We start from the raw sequence: 20,176 nt of genomic DNA, 5'->3' as shown, positions 1-20,176 counted from the left end.
GGTGTCTGGCCCCAAACCCTCTCCTGGCCTGGGTGGCATTGGCCCAGGCAGCGTGTGCGGCACGCTGCCTTGCAGTTCCTAGCAGGACAGGCAGGGTGCCCCCTGTTTGTCTCTGCACCTTCTTGTCCTGGGCCAGCTGTGTTGGCGGGGGAAGGGGAAGACGGTACCTGCCGTGCTTAGAAATAGCCCATTCCCACGGCGACACACTTGAGCTGTGACAGTGGCAATTAGGCTGCTCCGGAGGGGCTCACCTCCCTGCCTGGGCCTCCCTGGCAGAGCTAGAGCTGGGGTGGGGACGGTGGGCAGAGGACAGCCTGGGGCTCCTGTGTGTATCCTGTGCTGAATGCCACCCTCCCTCCCCCACAGGCTCTTCCAGGCTGTCCTTGAGGCACTTGCAGCCAGGGGTGACCCTGAGGAAGCAAAAACAGGCGGGGGGGGGGGGGGCGGAGGGGGAGGGGGAGGAGGAGCCCAGCTCTGAGGAGTGACTCATCCCTAGAGGGGGTGTGCAGCGATGTGTGTAGACAGCCTGGTGGGAGTGGGGGGCTTCCCGTTCCAGCCACCTTCTGCCCTGGTCACCTGCAAGGGTGTTTCCATGTCTTCTACCAGCAAAGGCAGCGTCCAGGGAGCTGGGGCAGCACGGCTCCTTGGGGAGCAGCCGGGAAGTTTCGGAGGCTCCCTGGCCTGCGGTGGGATTCCGGCTTGTTTGTGAGCTTAGGCTCACACGGGCTATAGCCACAGGCCTGTCCTGCCAGTTCTGGGGGCTTCTCAGAGGCATGGAGTCCAGCTGAGGGTTTGCAGAAGTGGCTTGAGCAGCCTGCAAGGCCCAGGGGACAAGCCTTGGCCTGGGAGTGGGCGTCCCTGCCAGGGAGGGGCGTCTGCATCTGAGCTCGTGGTCACTGGCACAGACTGCTCGTTCCCTAGCTGGCCACCTTCCCGGCTGGCCCCATTATCCTCCCAGGGGCATGGGGACCCCCAACCCCTCCTTCTGACCTGGTGCACCTTCCAGTCCCGCCCCGAAGTTTCTTTCCTTCTGCTCTACCTGGAGGAGCCTCCCCTCCCTCTCTCTGTCTCTCTCCATTCTCTCCCTCTCCTTCCCATGTATCTCTCTGTCTCTGTCTCTGGCTCTCTCTCTCTCTCTCTGTTTCTCTCTCTCTGTTTCTCTGTCTCTCTTCATCTCTCTCTCTCCCTATCTCTCTGTCCCTGTCTCCATCTCCCTCCATCTCTCTCTGCCTCTCTGTCTCCATCTCTCTGCCTCTCTCTGTATCTGTCTCTGTCTCTCTCCATCTCTCTCTGTCCCTATCTCTCTGCCTCTTTCCCTCTCTCTGTGTCTGTCTCTGTCTCCATCTCTTTGTCTCTCTGCCTCTCTATCTGCCTCTCTCTCTCCATCTCTCTCTGCCTCTCTCTGTCTCTGTCTCTCTATCTGCCTCTCTCTCTCCATCTCTCTCTGCCTCACTCTGTCTCTGTCTCTGCCTCTCTCCATCTCTGTCTCTGCCTCTCTTTCTGTCTCTCTCCATGTCTCTCTGTCCCTCTCTGTGTCTTTCTCTATCTCTGTCTTTGTCTCTCTGTCTCTGTCTGTCTCTGTCTCTCTGTCTCTCCCCGCCCTGCTCTCTCTCTCCGTCTCTGTCTGCCTCTCTCTGTCTCTGTCTCTGTCTCTGTGTCTCTCCCCATTCTGCTCTCTCTGTGTCTGTCTGTCTCTCTCTCTGTCTCTGTTTGCCTCTCTGTCTCTGTGTCTCTCTCTGTCTCTCCCTGTTCTGCTCTCTCTGTCTGTCTGTCTCTCTGTCTGCCTCTCTCTGTCTCTGTCTCTGTTTCTCTCTGTCTCTCTGTCTCTCCCCGTTCTGCTCTCTCTGTGTCTGTCTGTCTCTCTCTGTCTCTGTCTGCCTCTCTCTGTGTCTGTCTCTCTCGCTCTCTGTCTCTGTTTCTCCCTGTTCTGCTCTCTCTGTGTCTGTCTCTCTCTCTCTCTCTGTCTGCCTCTCTCTGTCTCTCTCTCTCTCTGTCTCTCCCTGTTCTGCTCTGTGTCTGTCTCTCTCTCTGTCTCTGTCTGCCTCTCTCTGTCTCTCTCTCTCTGTCTCTCCCTGTTCTGCTCTGTGTCTGTCTGTCTCTCTCTCTGTCTCTGTCTGCCTCTCTCTGTCTCTGTCTCTGTCTCTGTGTCTCTCCCCATTCTGCTCTCTCTGTCTGTCTCTCTGTCTCTGTTTGCCTCTCTGTCTCTGTGTCTCTCTGTCTCTCCCTGTTCTGCTCTCTCTGTCTGTCTGTCTGTCTCTCTGTCTGCCTCTCTCTGTCTCTGTCTCTGTTTCTCTCTGTCTCTCTGTCTCTCCCCGTTCTGCTCTCTCTGTGTCTGTCTGTTTGTCTCTCTCTGTCTCTGTCTGCCTCTCTCTGTGTCTGTCTCTCTCGCTCTCTGTCTCTCTGTTTCTCCCTGTTCTGCTCTCTCTGTGTCTGTCTCTCTCTCTCTCTGTCTGCCTCTCTCTGTCTCTCTCTCTCTGTCTCTCCCTGTTCTGCTCTGTGTCTGTCTGTCTCTCTGTCTCTGTCTGCCTCTCTCTATCTCTCTCTCTCTGTGTCTCTCTCTCTCTCTGTCTCTTTGTCTCTCCCTGTTCTGCTCTCTGTCTGTCTCTCTCTCTGTCTGCCTCTCTGTCTCTGTCTCTGTTTCTCTCTGTCTCTCTGTCTCTCCCCGTTCTGCTCTCTCTGTGTCTGTCTGTCTGTCTCTCTCTCTGTCTCTGTCTGCCTCTCTCTGTCTCTGTCTCTCTCGCTCTCTGTCTCTCTGTTTCTCCCTGTTCTGCTCTCTCTGTGTCTGTCTCTCTCTCTCTCTCTCTGCCTCTCTCTGTCACTCTCTCTCTCTGTCTCTCTGTCTCTCCCTGTTCTGCTCTCTCTGTGTCTGTCTGTCTCTCTCTCTCTCTCTGTGTGTCTGCCTCTCTGTCTCTGTCTCTGTCTCACTCTCTCTGTCTCTCCCTGTTCTGCTCTCTCTGTGTCTGTCTGTCTGTCTCTCTCTCTCTCTCTGTCTGCCTCTCTCTGTCTCTTCCCGTTCTGCTCTCTCTGTCTGTCTCTCCCCACCCTGCTCTCTCTGGACCATGGCTCTCTGCTCTTCTTCAGACTTGGTGGCCCAGGCTGGGTGGGGAGGCAGGTGGATGTGGCTCTCAGCCTAGCAACCGCCATGTGCCATGGAGCTGGAGCGCAGATGGCTCCACCTGGCCTTTCTCGCTGGTGCCTGGAGCTATACGCTTTTCCAGTGTGGGGCGGAAGGGACCTGCCCTGACTCGGAAGCTGCCCTGGCTTCATCCTGGCTCATCCGTGCCTGCCCTTCAGAAGGCAGGAGCCTTTCAGTGCCTCCATTGTGGAATGGAAACAGCCAGGTAGAGATGAGAACTGGAGCTATTGTTACTACAGCTTGAACTGCCCCGGGCCGAGACCCCTGGAGCCGCGTCCCAGCCGGAACCTGCTGAGACCCCTGGGGGTGTATCCTGGCCCCACCCTGCCGAGACCCCTGGAGCCGCGTCCCGGCCCGACCCTGCCAAGACCTGAGACCCGTGGGGGCGCGTCCTGGCCCGACTCTGCCGAGACAAGATGCCCTTCTTGAAGTTTTCACTTCGATCACTCAGGGGGCCTCTCACCCCTTTTGTGTCCAAAACAGAACCCTAGGCCTCCCTGCTCACCTCCAGAGCCTGGCCCACAGCGATGGCCCCATCTTAGCCAACTGCAAGGCCCACAGCCATGCTGAGTACGGGAGCTGGAGGCCCTGCATGGTCTGGATGCAGGCAGCCGGGCCCTGCTGTCTCCCCAGGTGCCCCAGGAGGGATGGACTCTAGGTCTCCTGGGAGGAACAGAGGGCTGTGAGGCTGGTGGTTCCATGCTCACTTAGGATGGGGGTCTTGACTACTGGACGGGGGGCTCAGGAATGGCCAGGAGCTGCTGGAGACCCTGACCTGGCAGGTGCAAGATTTGGCCAGTCTAGCAAGTCCTGGGTACCTGGCACCAGGGCCTCTAGCCTTGACCCTAAGAAGGGAGCCCTTAGACGGCGTGAGGGGGCCCCTACTTTCCGATGGGCCAAAAGTCTGAAGGGTGGCAAGCACCCGCATTTTCTTTCCAGGCAGGACTGTGGCCTCTCCCAGGACTGTGGTGCCCCTCCCTCGGGCTCTCCTTCTCCTTTGGACTTTACGGATCTTTTCTAAGTGGTATCATCAGTAGTCGCTTTTCTTTTCTTTTTTTCTTTCCTTTTCTTTTTTCTTTTAAGAGATGGGAGATCTCACTGTGTTGCCCAGGCTGGTCTTGAACTCCTGGACTAAGTGATCCTCTCACCTCAGCCTCCCAAACTGCTGGGATTACAGGCCACTTTTTTTTTTTGAGACACAGTCTCATTCTGTTGCCCAGGCTGGAGTCAGTGGTGCGATCTCGGCTCACTGCAATCTCCGCCTCCCAGGTTCAAGTGATTCTCCTGCCTCAGCCTCCTGAGTCGCTGGCATTACAGGCATGTGCCACACACCCTGCTAATATTGCATTTTTACTAGAGACAGGGTTGCACCATGTTGGTCAGGCTGGTCTCAAACTCCTGACCTCCAGTGATCCGGCCACCTTGGCCTCCCAAAGTGCTGGATTCCAGGAGTGAGCCAGCAGGCCCAACTGGCTCTTCTTTTTTTTCTTTTTGTTTTTTTTTTTTTTGAGATTGAGTTTTGCTCTTTTTGCCCAGGCTGGAGTGCAATGGCACCATCTCAGCTCACTGCAACCTCCACTTCCCAGGCTCAAGTGATGTGGATCATTTTTATTTTTTTTTGGAGACGAGGTCTCGCTCTGCCGCCCAGGCTGGAGTGCAATGGTGTCATCTCAGCTCACTGCAACTTCTGCCTCCCAGGTTCAAGGGATTCTTCTGTCTCAGCCTCCCGAGTAGCTGGGATTACAGGCACACGACACCACACTCGGCTAATTTTTTGTACTTTTAGTAGAGACGGGGTTTCGCCATTTTAGCCAGGATGGTCTCTATCTCCTGACCTCGTGATCCGCCCCCCTCGGCCTCCCAAAGTGCTGGGATTACAGGCGTGAGCCACTGCGCCTGGCCTTGTTTCTTTTCTTGTTTTTTTTTTTTTTTTTTTATTTAGATGGAGTCTGGCTCTGTCACCAGGCTGGAGTTCAGTGGCGCCATCTCGGCTCACTGCAAGCTCCGCCTCTCGGGTTCAAGTGATTCCCCTGCCTCAGCCTCCCGAGTAGCTGGGACTACAGGCCTGCGCCACCACGCCTGGCTAATTTTTTGTATTTTAGTAGAAATGGGGTTTCACCATGTTGGCCCAGCTAGTCTTGAACTCCTGACCTCAGGTGATCCGCCCGCCTCGGCCTCCTAAAGTGCTGGGATTACAGGTGTGAGCCACCACATTCGGCCTGTTTGTTTCATTTTCGTGTATTTATTTATTTATTTATTTATTTTGGGACAGAGTATCACTCTGTCACCCAGGCTGGAGTGCAATGGCGTGATCTTGGCTCACTGCAACCTTCACCTTCTGGGTTCATGTGATTCTCCTGCCTCAGCCTCCCGAGTAGCTAGGATTACAGGCATGCACCACCACAGCTGGCTAATTTTTGTATTTTTAGTAGAGACGGGGTTTCACCATGTTGGCCAGGCTGGTCTCCAACTCCTGACTTCAGGTGATCCACCCGCCTAGGCCTCCCAAAGTGTTGGGATTACAGGCGTGAGCCGCCGCGCCCGGCCAGCTTCTCTTGGTGATCCTTGGGTTGTAGACGCATCAGCCCAGTCTCTGCCTCCGTCCTCACAGGGTGATCTGTCTGCCTGTCTCCACCGTCACTGTGTCCAGATCTCTCTCCTTTCTTTTATAAAGATACCTGTAATATTGGGAAAAACGAAGTGCTGTTTTCCTCTTCTCTCACTCAACAGTCCACACTTCTGTGTCCCAGGAGTGTGGGGTTTCCCACACCAAGGAGTTCTGGTTTTTTTTTGAGACGGAGTCTCGCTCTGTCGCCCAGGCTGGAGGGCAGTGGCGCGATCTCTGCTCACTGCAAGCTCCGCCTCCTGGGTTCACGCCATTCTCCTGCCTCAGCCTCCTAAGTAGCTGGGACTACAGGCACCTGCCACCCGGCTAATCCAAGGATTTCAGGAGCTGTGTGTCATGAAACGGAGGAAGAGCAATGCATGTTTCCCTGTGGCACAGCACCATTGACAGCAGGAGGGCCTGCACTAACTTGACATGACCTCATTTCATTTGATTACGCCTACAAAGATCCCTATTTCCAAATAAGGTCACATTCGTAGTTAATGGGCTTCATCATATCCTGTGGAGGACACAGTAGCTACGAGTCACTGTGGACACTGTGTCTTGGGACAGCGACAACTGTTTGGGCCAGTAGCATGGGGGTAAAAGAATTTACCATCGGCCGGGCGCGGTGGCTCACGCCTGTGATCCCAGCACTTCGGGAGACCAAGGCGGGCGGATCACCTGAGGTCAGGAGTTGGAGACCAGCCTGGCCAACATGGTGAAACCCCGTCTCTACTAAAAATACAAAAATTAGCTGGGCGTGGTGGTGTGCGCCTGTAGTCCCAGCTACTCTGGAGGCTGAGGCAAGAGAATCACTTGAACCCGGGAGGCAGAGGTTGCAGTGAGCCGAGATCGCGCCATTGCACTCCAGCCTGGGTGACCAAGTGAGACTCTGTCTCAAAAAAAAAAAAATTTACCAAGACAGTTGTAGGTAGAGAAAGGCACATATGTTAGTGAAAGTAGGAAAACATGTTGCAAGGAGGCAACGGGCAGCCAGCAAGAGAGGCCAACTGCATGGAGACAAAGACTTGCTGGACGTTTTGTAGGGTGGCTCCTGGGTTGATGGCCAACGCCAAGGCAGCGGGGAGCTTCACCTGCGTTCTCCTGTCAGCCAGGGTGTTTGGTAATTTGAGGCGTTTGATGGTGAGCAGGAAGATTGTGAGTTACGTGCATTACTTGTTCAGGAGGGCCATACAGAAAGGCAGACCTACAGCCCATCTCCTTTCTGTCTTTGCTTTCCCCTGCTCCCTCCAGCCCGACTCCTTTCCCCTAATTAGGGCCCCCCACACGGGACACTTTAATTGCAGCTACTGTGACTGAGGACCTCCATTTTATATTTTAGTTAAACTTTTTTTTTTTTTGAGATGGAGTCTCGCTCTGTCGCCCAGGCTGGAGTGCAGTGGTGCGATCTCTGCTCACTGCAAGCTCCGCCTCGCAGGTTCTCGCCATTCTCCTGCCTCGACCTCCCAAGTAGCTGGGACTACAGGTGCCCACCACCACGCCCGGCTAATTTTTGTATTTTTAGTAGAGACGGGGTTTGACCATGTTAGCCAGGATGGTCTCCATCTCCTGACCTCGTGATCCGCCCGCCTGGGCCTCCCAAAGTGCTGGGATTACAGGCATGAGCCACCGTGCCTGGCCGTTAAACTTAAGTTTAAACAAATAACCTCTTATGTTCGGTGCACACTTTGTCAGACGGCACAGTTCTCAAAACTCTTTTTTTTTTTGAGATGGAGTCTCTCTCTATCACCCAGGCTGTAGTGCAGTGTCGCGATCTCCGCTCACTGCAACCTCCGCCTCCCAGGTTCAAGCGATTCTCCTGCCTCAGTCTCCCGAGTAGCTGGGATTACAGGCAGCCACCACCACGCCCAGCTAATTTTGGTATTTTTAGTAGAGACACGGTTTCACCATGTTGACCAGGCTGGTCTCGAACTCCTGACCTCAGGTGATTCACCCGCCTTGACCTCCCAAAGTGCTGGGATGACAGGCATCAGCCACCACGCCCGGCCTACGTTTCTTATTTCTAATGTAGGTGGTGCGGGTCCTTTAGACTCTGTGCTCCGCACGTGAAATACTCAGGTACACGTAGGGCAGGAGTGGGCGATGCCCTCATTTATCGCCTAGATGGCCACGCGCCCCACAAAGCCCGGCCTCCTCCTTTAGGCATCAACTCTCCCCCGATCCCTGTCACCCAAGGAAGCCCCAGGCATCCTTAAAGATTTCCAACACCTGGTTCTCAGCCTTTTTCTCTAAAATACCACAAAAGCAATGGTAGACGACTTCAGCACCCGTGAAACGGTCCCCAGCGCCCTGGTGTCTGAGTTTCTTGACCTCTTTCTGAGAAGGAGCCTGTTTTCCACCAGGGTCCATGGTCCTTCCCGTCCTAGCTTTATTAAAAGCCACCTCCTGTAATCCCAGCACTTTGGGAGGCTGAGGCAGGCGGATCATGAGGTCAGGAGATCAAGCCCATGCTGGCTAACACGGTGAAACCCCGTCTCCACTAAAAATACAAAACGTTAGCCGGATGTGGTGTCGCGCCCCTGTGGTCCCAGCTACTCGGGAGGCTGAGGCAGGAGAATGGGGTGAACCTGGGAGGGGGAGCTTGCAGTGAGCCGAGATCGCGCCACTGCACTCCAGCCTGGACGACAGAGCGAGACTCTGTCTCGAAAAAAAAAAAAAGAGGTCACCTCCACATCCTCGGTTTTCCACCCCACCACCACTTAGCTCTAGGAATAATTCTCTTTTTTTTTTTTTTTAACAGAGTCTCTCCATCCTGGCTAACATGGTAAAACCCCGTCTCTACTAAAAATGCAAAAAAAAATTAGCCTGGCGCGGTGGCGGGCGCCTGTAGTCCCAGCTACTCGGGAGGCTGAGGCAGGAGAATAGTGTGAACCTGGGAGGCGGAGCTTGCAGTGAGCCCAGATCGCACCACTGCACTCCAGCCTGGGCAACAAAGCGAGACTCCGTCTAAAAATAAATAAATAAATAAATAAATAAATAAATAAATAAATAAAAACAGTCTCGCTCTGTCACTCAAGCTGGAGTGCAGTGGTGTGATCTTGGCTCACTGCAACCTCCAGCTCCCGGGTTCACGCCATTCTCCTGTCTCAGTCTCCCAAGTAGCTGGGATTACAGGCGTCTACCACACCCAGCTAATTTTGTATTTTTAGTAGAGACGGGGTTTCTCCGTGTTGGTCAGGCTGGTCTTGAACTCCTGACTGGTGATCCACCCGCCTCTGCCTCCTAAAGTGCTGGGATTACAGACGTGAGCCACGGCGCCCTGCCTGCTCCAGGGATAATTCTTGCCTTCCACTGGGATCCCCAGCTCGGTGCACAGAGTGCTTTTTCGCGGCTGCCATCCTTCATGCCTTCATTTCTCAGCTCACCTAGTTCTGATTCAGAGTCAAAGTAGAGTCTCTGGGGTTGAAAAACGGGGGAAGGGAAGGGAAGAAGGGAAGCGAAGCAAAACGGGAGGCCACCGTGACACACAGAGCTAAGGAAGGCCATGAAAGGGGGTCTCAGGCCTGCATGCCTCAAAACTATCACAAAGGATTCCAAAAACCGCATACTTGCACAAAGTCCACTGTAACCTTGCACACACACAGAAATACTTCTGTGAGGACATCCGCCCAGGACTGCCTGTCCACCCTCAGATGGTTGTCATCCTTGTTATTGATCTTTGTAGCCAAGGATAATTCTTTCTTTTTTTTTTTCTTTTTTTTTGAGACAGAGTCTCGCTCTGTTGCCCAGGCTGGAGTGCAGTGGCGCGATCTGGGCTCACTGCAAGCTCTGCCTCCTGGGTTCACACCATTCTCCTGCCTCAGCCTCCCGAGTAGCTGGGACTACAGGCGCCTGCCACCGCGCCAGGCTAATTTTTTTTTTGCATTTTTAGTAGAGACGGGGTTTCACCATGTTAGCCAGGATGGAGAGACTCTGTTAAAAAAAAAAAAAAAAGGAATTATTCCTGGAGCTAAGTGGTGGTGGGGTGGAAAACCGAGGATGTGGAGGTGGCCTCTTTTTTTTTTTTTTTTTTGAGACGGAGTCTCGCTCCGTCGCCCAGGCTGGAGTGCAGTGGCGCAATCTCGGCTCACTGCAACCTCCACCTCCCGGGTTCACGCCATTCTCCTGCCTCAGCCTCCGGAGTCGCTGGGACTACAGGCCCCCGCCACCACACCCAGCTAATTTTTTGTATTTTTAGTAGAGACGGGTTTCACCGTGTTAGCTGGGATGGTCTTGATCTCCTGACCTCGTGATCCGCCCGCCTCGGCCTCCCAAAGTGCAGCCAAGGATAATTATTTCAAAACAATGAAGTCATCCTTCTCATCTTTCCTTTAAAAACCTTTGTCTTTGGCTGGGCGCGGTGGCCCACGCCTGTAATCCCAGCACGTAGGGAGGCCAAGGTGGGCAGGATCACAAGGTCAGGAGTTCAAGAACAGCCTGACCAATATGGTGAAACCCCGTCTCTACTAAAAAATACAAAAATTAGGCCTGGTGCAGTGGCTCACGCCTGTAATCCCAGCACTTTGGGAGGCCGAGGCGGGCGGATCACGAGGTCAGGAGACTGAGACCATCCTGGCTAACACAGTGTAACCCCATCTTTACCAAAAATACAAAAAATTAGCCGGGCGTGGTGGCGGGCGCCTGTAGTCCCAGCTACTCGGGAGGCTGAGGCAGGAGAATGGCGTGAACCCGGGAGGCGGAGCTTGCAGTGAGCCGAGATCACACCACTGCACTCCAGCCTGGGCGACGGAGCGAGACTCCGTCTCAAAAAAAAAAATCCCAAAATTAGATGGGCGTGGTGGCCGGTGCCTGTAGTCGCAGCTACTCAGGAGGCTGAGGCAGGAGAATCGCTTGAACCAAGAAGGGGCAGTTGCAGTGAGCAAGCTTGCGCAACTGCACTCCAGCCTGGTGACAGAGCTGTGAGACTTCAACTCAAAAAAAAAAAAAAAAAACCAGCAGGGCGTAGTGGCCCACGCCTGTAATCCCAACACTTTGGATGGCAGAGACGGGCGGATTGCCTGAGCTCCAGAGTTCGAGACCAGCCTGGGCAACACGGTGAAACGCTGTATTTACTAAAATACAAAAAATTAGCCGGGTGTGGTGGCAGGCTCCTGTAATCCCAGCTACTCGGGAGGCTGAGGCAGAATTGTTTGAACCCGGGAGACGGAGGTTGCAGTGAGCCGAGATCGCACCACTGCACTCCAGCCTGAGCGACAAAACGAGCCTTCGTCTCAAAAAAACAAAACAAAACAAACAAAAAAACCAAAAAAAACCTTTGTCTTCTTCTACCTCCCTGAATATGCACATACTTTACTGTGGCACACGCGTTCCCATTGCAATCCTATTCCTGAATAAATATTTTACTTTTTTACTTTTGGTGGAGAAGAGTTTATTTAAGGCCGGGCGTGGTGGCTCACGCCTGTAATCCCAGCACTTTGGGAGGCTGAGGCGGGCGGATCACGAGGTCAGGAAATCGAGACCATCCTGGCTAACACGGTGAAACCCCGTCTCTACTAAAAATACAAAAAATTAGCCGGGCGCGGTGGCAGGCGCCTGTAGTCCCAGGTCCCAGCTACTTGGAAGGTTGAGGCAGGAGAATGGCATGAACCCGGGAGGCGGAGCTTGCAGTGAGCCAAGATCGCGCCACTGCACTCCAGCCTGGGTGACAGAGTGAGACCTCGTCCCAAAAAAGAAAAAGAAGAGTTTATTTAATGTGAGAACAGCATCCTCCCGGTGAGTGTTGAGCTCTTGGCAGACAGGAGGCTGGAGAGGGCGGCTCCTCTCCACAGGAAGTCGTTTGGATGTCTCCGCAGGTCTCAGGCTCTCCACAGACAGGGTAGAGGTAGCTCCTCTCTGCTGACAGGTTGTCTGGGCAGCTCTCAGCGGAGGACAGAGGAGAAGGTACTCCTCTCTGCAGCTGGTCATCCTGGTCGCCTCCCTGCCCTCTTCCTCTTCTGGCTGTCCTCTTCGAATAAATATCATTTTCTGCTAGAGAACCCCTCTCTGTTATTTAGTTTGACATAAATGATGCTCTGAAACAGGACCTGAAGGAAGGTCACTTTAAGAAGGAACTGGCGGTTCTTGGAGCCAGTGCCCCATGCTCGCCGAGCCCTATGGGCTCTCTGCTTCCGTGGTTCGCATGCTCTGCCTTGGAGAATCTTCTGTGGCTGTGCTTCCCTCTTTTTAAAATTGCATTTTATTATTATTATTATTATTATTATTATTTAAGACATGGTCTCTCTGTGTTGCCCAGGCTGGAGTGGAGTGGCACAGTGTTGGCTCACTGAAGCCTCAACATCCCAGGCTCAAGCGATTCTCCCACCTCAGCCTCCTCAGTAGCTGGGACCACAGGCTGGTTCTACTATGTCCAGATAATTTTTGTTTGCTTGTTTGTTTTTAAAAAAAGAGTCTTGGCTGGGCGCGGTATCTCACACCTGTAATGCCAGCACTTTGGGAGGCCGAGGCAGGTGGATCACGAGGTCAGAAGTTCGAGACCATCCTGGCTAACACGGTGAAACCCTGTCTCTACTAAAAATACAAAAAATTAGCCGGGCGTGGTGGCGGGTGCCTGTAGTCCCAGCTATTTGGGAGGCTGAGGCAGGAGAATGGCGTGAACCTGGGAGGCAGAGCTTGCAGTGAGCTGAGATTGCGCCATTGCACTCCAGCCTGGGCGACACAGCGAGACTCCATCTCAAAAAAAAAATTAGCCAGGCGTGGTGGCGGGCACTTGTAGTCCCAGCTACTTGGGAGGCTGAGGCAGAAGAATGGCATGAACCCGGGAGGTGAAGCTTGCAGTGAGCCGAGATTGCACCACTGCACTCCAGCCTGGGCAATAGAGCAAGACTCCGTCTCAAAACAAACAAACAAACAAATAAACAAACAAAAAAAGTTAGCTGGACATGGTGGCATGCACCTGTAATCCCAGCTAGTCTAGAGGCTGAGGCAGGAGAATCGCTTGAACTCACAAGGCAGAGGTTGCAGTGAGCCAAGATTGCACCGCTGCACTCCAGCCTGGACTGCAGAGTGAGATTCTGTTTCAAAAGAAAACAAAACAACAACGAAAGTTACTGGGTCTGTCGCCACCATCTGAAACAGTGGTCCATGTGCTTGACAATTCCTGATAGGATCTATGGAAGCTTCTTTGCTCTTCAGAAAATAAGAAGAAATGAAATGGGATTCTCAAACATTAAGTCACAGCAGATTTTTTGGTTCTCCAGCAGGCTATATTATGGCCCAACTTGGGCAAACTGTACTTATTTATCTTTCTTTTTAATTTTTCTCAGCTTCTGTTCTGCTCTAACTCAGGCACATTTTAAAACTGATGGGTGGCCAGGCACGGTGGCTCACGCCTGTAATCCCAACACTTTGGGAGGCTAAAGTGGGAGGATCACGAGGTCAGGAGTTCGAGACCAGCCTGGCCAACATGGTGAAACCCCGTCTCTACTAAAAATACAAAAAATTAGCCAGGCGTGGTGGCACACGCCTGTAATTGCAACTACTCAGGAGGCTGAGGCAAGAAAATTGCTTGAACCCGGGACGCAGAGGTTGCACTGAGCCAAGATCATGCCACTGCACTCCAGCCTGGTCGACACAGCAAGGCGCTGTCTCAAAAACAAAAACAAAAACAAAAAAACCCCAAAACTGGCCGGGCACGGTGGCTCACGCCTGTAATCCTGGCACTTTGGGAGGCTGAGGTGGGTGGATCACAAGGTCAGGAGACTGAGACCATCCTGGCTAATCGGTGAAATCCCGTCTCTACTAAAAATACAAAAAATTAGCCGGGTGTGGTGGTGGGTGCCTGTAGTCCCAGTTACTCGGGAGGCTGAGGCAGGAGAATGGTGTGAACCTGGGAGATGGAGCTTGCAGTAAGCTGAGATTGCGCCACTGCACTCCAGCCTGGGCCACAGCGAGACTCCGTCTCAAAAAAAAAAAAAAAAAATTAATTGGCGGGCGCGGTGGCTCACGCCTGTAATCCCAGCACTTTGGGAGGCCGAGGCGGGCGGATCATCTGAGGTCTGGAGTCTGAGACCAGCCTGACCAACATGGAGAAACCCCATCTCTACTAAAAATACAAAATTAATGGCGCATGCCTGTAATCCCAGCTACTCGGGAGGCTGAAGCAGAAGAATTGCTTGAACCCGGGAGACAGAGGTTGTGGTGAGCTGAGATCATGCCATTGCACTCCAGCCTGGGCAACAAGAGCAAAACTCCATCTCAAAAAAAAAAAAAAAATTTTTATGCTTTGGGGCAGTGGCAGTGGTAACGGGGCTGTGTGCAGGAGGAGCATCGATCGGGCAGGGTGGATGTGGGCTGGGGCAGCCCCGGGTCCCAGGCCCTGCAACGGTGTGCAGGGCGGGAGTGCCCAGTCGGGCTGCATTCCCAGGTGCACGGCGTGCCACTGAGCTGCTCACGTAGCTGCCACCATCTGTGCTGGGCCCAGCCGAGACGCAGAACCTCGTGGACATGACCTAGGAAGACCCAGACAGTGTGCCCCACGGATGTCCTGGATCAAAGGGACCCAGGTTGGTGATTACTTCTACTCCTTTGGCGGCTGTTATTGGCACGCAGCCTACCGGTAGCTGCAGCAAGGGCCATCCTGGACAAGCTTGTGCAGTCCACCCTCTCGGACCTCAGGGTGTACCTGGGGGCATCCACGCCAGACTTGTAGGAGCAGTCCCCATGGCACCGACTGACACTTCTAAGAGCCCAGAAGATACATCTGGCCCCCGTAGGCTGGGCTGGCAGAAGGGATAGCTGAGATGCGTTCTCTTTGCACTTGGTGGGGAGGGTCTGACTCGAGACACTTCCCCAACAGTAGGGAATAAAATTGTCATGGTTGAATAGACCGATTGTGGATTGTGTTCCATCTACTGAGACTGGCACACTGCCTCCTGAAATGAAAGTGGATCTCATCACCAGAGGAGAAATGAGGAACTGCGTATCAGCTAGCCTTCACTGTGTAACAGACCATCCCAAAATTTGGCAGCAAAAACAGGTCACGTATTTGTCCACAATTCTGTGGGTTGGCAATCTGCACTGGGCTCACCTGCGGACCCTCATGGAGCTGTGGTCATTTGTCACATCCGCTACACCTGGATGGTCTAGGACAGCCTGACTCACTTGTCTGGCAGGTGACAGGTTGTTGGTTGGGGTGGCCTGTCTAGCAGGCTGCTTCAGCCTTAGGGCTCCAGGAGAGTGAGAGTAGAAGCTGCAAGATTTCTTGGGTTCTGGGCCTGGAACTGGGGCTGGGACAACGTCAGTTCTACTAAGTTCTTTTGATCAGAGCAAATCACAAGGCTTTGCCCGGATTCAAGGGATGAGAAAGAGACCGTATGTCTTGATGAGAGGAACCACAAAGAATGTGTGGCCATTTTTCACCTAATGCAAATAACTTTGGGTGGGGAAATAACAATATTTATCTCTCTCAGGGGACCTCACTCTGCCTAGTCTGAAGGCAAAAAGACACTGTCCTGGCCGTCAGGGTCTTGGGGAAGAGGTGTTGAGGCAGGGTGAGGCCTCTTCAAGGCTGGATCCACTATAATAGGGGCACCATGTTTTCTGCACTGGTGGGATGGGGTTTTACTGGGTGGGATGTTCCAGAGGGGCTTCTGAAAGCCAAGAGTCCTGGGGGAAAGGGAGAGGTGGAGAAACATGTGAATACATAACCCCAAATCATTTGAAATGGGAAAAATGGTAAAATGAGGTTTTTTAAAATAATAAACCTCCTATACAAACTGCGATCCCCCAAATTTTGGTCTGTATCCTTCATTAGATCACCTATTTGGGCAAATAAAGTTTAGCCATGTGAACATGTCCCATTTTGTCAGAAATACTATCATATAATTGGGATCCAATTGTCTGTTTTTTGTTGTTGTTGTTTTGAGATGAAGTCCCGCTCTGTCACCCAGGCTGGAGTACAGTGGCGCGATCTTGGCTCACTGCAACCTCCGACTCCCAGGTTCAAGTGATTTTCAGCCTCCTGAGTAGCTGGGATCACAGGCATGTGCCACCACTACACCCGGCTAATTTTTGTGTTTTTAGTAGCCATAGGGTTTCACTGTGTTAGCCAGGATGGTCTCCTGATCGTGATCCGGTCGCCTCGGCCTCCCAAAGTGCTGGGATTATAGGTGTGAGCCACCACGCCCGGCCCCCAGGCTGTAAATCTTTAATAAATAAGCTGGTTTTAAATTTGCTGTAAAATAAAAATAGAAATGTCATAAAAATTGGCAGCATACATTTTTGCCTGGGTTTACTCATTAAGAGTCTCACCTGTCGCCCAGGCTGGAGTGCAGTGGCTTGATCTTAGCTTACTGCAACCTCTGTTTCCTGGGTTCAAGTGATTCTCCCACCTCAGCCTCCCAAGTGGCTGGGATTACAGATGCCCGCCTCCACGCCCAGCTAATTTTTGTATTTTTAGTAGAGACGGGGTTTTGCCATGTTGGCCAGGCTGGTCTTGAACTCCTGACTTTAGGTGATCTGCCTGCCTTGGCCTCCCAAAGTGCTGGGATTACAGGTGTGATCCACCATGACTGGTCTTAGAATGATCTCTTTTGTGTGTAATTATTTGATGAGTAAAACTAATTTGATATTGTTGGCTTAATGAAAAAGCTGTATCTTCTGAGTTATTTACAACATATAGGTGCATTTAAAATTCTTATTTAGGCTAGGCATGGTGGCTCACACCTGTAATCCCAACACCTTGGGAGGCTGAGGTGGGAGGATCACTTGAGCCCAGGAGTTCAAGATGAGCCCTGGAAACACAGCAAGACCTTGTCTCTAATGAAAATAAAAAACTAGCCAGGTAGAATGCTGCACGGCTGTATTCCCAGCTACTGGAGAGGATGAGGTGAGTGGATCACTTGAGCTTGGGAGTTTGAGGCTGCAGTAAGCCATGATCCCACCACTGTACTCAAGCTTGGGCAATGAAGGGGTGGGTTGCCCCTCCACACCTGTGGGTGTTTCTCGTTAGGTGGAACCCAGGGAACCAGTGTTCAGCATATGGAGGATCCTACCAGCCTCTGAGTTCCCTTAGTATTTATTGATCATTCGTGGGTGCTTCTCCAAGAGGGGGATGTGTCAGGGTCACAAGACAATAGTGGGGAGAGGGTCAGCAGACAAACATGTGAACAAAGGTCTTTGCATCGTAGACAAGGTAAAGAATCAAGTGCTGTGCTTTTAGATATGCATCCACATAAACATCTCAATGCTTTACAAAGCAGTATTGCTGCCCGCATGTCCCACCTCCAGCCCTAAGGCGGTTTTTCCCTATCTCAGTAGATGGAACGTACAATCGGGTTTTATACTGAGACATTCCATTGCCCAGGGACGGGCAGGAGACAGATGCCTTCCTCTTGTCTCAACTGCAAGAGGCATGCCTTCCTCTTTTACTAATCCTCCTCAGCACAGACCCTTTACGGGTGTCGGGCTGGGGGACGGTCAGGTCTTTCCCTTCCCATGAGGCCATATTTCAGACTATCACATGGGGAGAAACCTTGGACAATACCTGGCTTTCCTAGGCAGAGGTCCCTGCGGCCTTCCTCAGTGTTTGTGTCCCTGGGTACTTGAGATTAGGGAGTGGTGATGACTCTTAAGGAGCGTGCTGCCTTCAAGCATCTGTTTAACAAAGCACATCTTGCACCGCCCTTAATCCATTCAACTCTGAGTTGACACAGCACATGTTTCAGAGAGCACGGGGTTGGGGGTAAGGTCATAGATTAACAGCATCTCAAGGCAGAAGAATTTGTCTTAGTACAGAACAGAATGGAGTCTCCTATGTCTACTTCTTTCTACACAGACACAGTAACAATCTGATCTCTCTTGCTTTTCCCCACAGGGCAACAGAGCAAAACCCTGTCTCAAAAAAAATTTAACAGGCCGGGTGTGGTGGCTCACAGCTTTGGGAGTCCAAGGCGGGTGGATCACCTGACGTCAGGAGTTTGAAACCAGCCTGACCAAGATGGTGAAACCTTGTCTCTACTAAAAATACAAAAATTAGCCAGGCGTGGTCGTGGGTGCCTGTAATCCCAGCTACTTGAGAGGACAAGGCAGGAGAATTGCTTGAACCTGGGAGGCAGAGGTTGCAGTGAGCTGAGATCGCACCACTGTGCTCCAGCCTGGGTGACAGAGCAAGACTCCATCTCAAAAAAAAAAAAAATTAATATCCCTTTTAATAAACTCATGGCCAGGCATGGTGGCTCACGTCTGTAATCCCAGCACTGTGGGAGGCTGAGGTGGGTGGATCAAGAAGTCAAGAGATCGAGCCCATCCTGGCCAACATGGTGAAACCCCGTCTCTACTAAAAATACAAAAATTAGCCAGGCGTGGTGGTGTGTGCCTGTAATTCCAGCCACTCGAGAGGCTGAGGCAGGAGAATCGCTTGAACCTGGGAGGTGGAGGTTGCAGTGAGCCGAGATCACACCACTGCACTCCAGCCTGGTGACACAGAGAGATTCCATCTAAAAAAAAAATTAATTTACACACATACACACGTGTATATGTATAATGTATGTATATATGTGTTATATATGTGTGTGTGTGTATATATGTAATTTTTTTAAATAGAGAGGGATCTAGCTATATTGACCAGTTTGCTCTCAAATTCCTGGTCTCAAGAGATTCTCTCGGCCGGGTGTAGTGGCTCACACCTGTAATCCCAGCACTTTGGGAGGCGGAGGCGGGCGGATCACGAGGTCAGGAGATCAAGACTATCCTGGCTAACCCGGTGAAACCCCGTCTCTACTAATAATACAAAAAAAAAAAAAAAATTAGCCGGGCGCCTGTAGTCCCAGCTACTCGGAAGGCTGAGGCAGGAGAATTGCGTGAACCTGGGAGGCGGAGCTTGCAATGAGCCGAGATTGCGCTATTGCACTCCAGCTGGGCGACAGAGCGAGATTCTGTCTCAAAAAAAACAGAGATTCTCTCACATTGGCCTCCCAAAGTGTTGGGATTACAAGCATGAGCCAATGTGCCAGACCAAACTAGACACATTTTAAGGGACAAGTCTCATGCCTGATGCATGGGTCACACACAGTGTTCACCAAACTGCCTGATGCCCTAACCAGAAACACCCAAACTTCAAACCCGGAGAAGCTGATGTTTTCATGCTACAGACAGCTTTTCCCAAGACTTCGGAACAAGACTGCAATTATAATGAGACTCTTACTCCCCTCTGATTCTGCTTTTTTCACTGGGCAGGATAATGCTGTCACAGGATCCTTAGGGTGTAACTTTCCCAGCCGGAAACCTCTGTGTCTGGGGCGCCTTTGCCTGAGTTTTGCTCGGGCCCACTGGGCCCATTCCACCCACTCAGCCTGATAGGCTGCACTCAGCTGATGCTACTGGCTCAGATCCCACACCTTCCAGGTGAGGAGCGGCAGGGGTGTGTGTGAACAAGCGCGGGGTCCAGTCACTGTGCACAGCCAGGTGTGCCAGCTGCAGTGGGGCAGGCAGCTCCAGGGACTGGCACAGGTGCCAGCTCTGTGCAAGTCTGTAGCTGGACCAGGTGCACCAGAAGTGGCTTCCACTGCAGGCACTGGGGAACATGGTGGCTCCCAGAATCTTGGAGATACAAGGAGCTGCAGAGTCCCCAAGAGGGTGTCATGGCCCCAGCTCAGGGAGTCCCCGAGAGGGTGTCACGGCCCCGGCTCAGGGAGTCCCCAAAGAGGGTGTCACGGCCCCGGCTCAGGGAGCCCCCAAAAAGGGTGTCAGAGCCCTGGCTCAGGGAGTCTCCAAAGAGGGTGTCATGGCCCTGGCTCAGGGAGTCCCCGAGTCTGGGCTCCCCGAAGGGCCACAGCTCTCTTCTCTCCTTGTTGCCCCCAATGTGGCAAGCAGGAGACGTGTTTCAGCCCTGTTTGTATTACAGCTCTTTCAGTCCTGCTATTCAGCAGGTCCCATGTTCTCATCCTGCGTCCAGGAAGAATGAGGTACGTGGACAACCAGAGGGTGAGCAAGAAAGAGAGGAGCTTCACTGAGCGACAGAACAGCTCTCAGGGGACCCGAAGTGAGTAGCTCCTTCCGCAGGCAGGTCGTCCCGAGTGCCTAGTTCTCAGCGGAGAGGAGACCCGGAGTAAGTAGCTCCTTCCCACAGGCAGGTGATCCCCACAAATTGAGGGGATCCCAAGTGGGTAGATCCTTCCCACAGCTGGTAGTCCTGACATCTCTGTGAGTATAGCTGAGTGGGATTTTTATGGGCTTCAGAAGGGAGAAAGTGTATACTGATTGGCCCATGGGCAGCCATGGACGGGCCCAGAAAAAGCACCATAAATCTCATTCTGGACGGCAGACTCCACCCAGAACTGGCAGCCCAGCCCCCATGTTTCAGGAAGTCCCTAGCTTTAATGGGGGTCTTCACTGGACACCCACCCCTTTCCACCCAGGAGCCTGTGTGCCTCCTACTGCCATCAATCATGTCATCTACAGGACCCAGGCTGTTC

At 52.6% G+C, this 20,176-nt stretch overlaps 2 annotated features.

The window, feature by feature from the left end:
• Positions 406-455: a silencer, noted in NCBI's record as "silent region_80". NCBI's record gives its function as "represses an Ori minimal core promoter by ATAC-STARR-seq in GM12878 lymphoblastoid cells {active_cell/tissue: GM12878}" and the evidence as "EXISTENCE:reporter gene assay evidence [ECO:0000049][PMID:35858748]".
• Positions 3,097-3,945: an enhancer, noted in NCBI's record as "H3K27ac-H3K4me1 hESC enhancer chr1:1529354-1530202 (GRCh37/hg19 assembly coordinates)". NCBI's record gives its function as "activates a minimal SCP1, AML or CMV promoter by ChIP-STARR-seq in primed H9 embryonic stem cells {active_cell/tissue: H9 hESC(primed)}" and the evidence as "EXISTENCE:reporter gene assay evidence [ECO:0000049][PMID:30033119]".

Source organism: Homo sapiens, chromosome 1 (genome assembly GCF_000001405.40).
Source record: "Homo sapiens chromosome 1, GRCh38.p14 Primary Assembly".
NCBI classification, from domain to species: Eukaryota; Metazoa; Chordata; class Mammalia; order Primates; family Hominidae; genus Homo; species Homo sapiens.
Note: the sequence above shows the minus strand (reverse complement) of the source record. Positions and strands in the feature narration are given on the sequence as shown.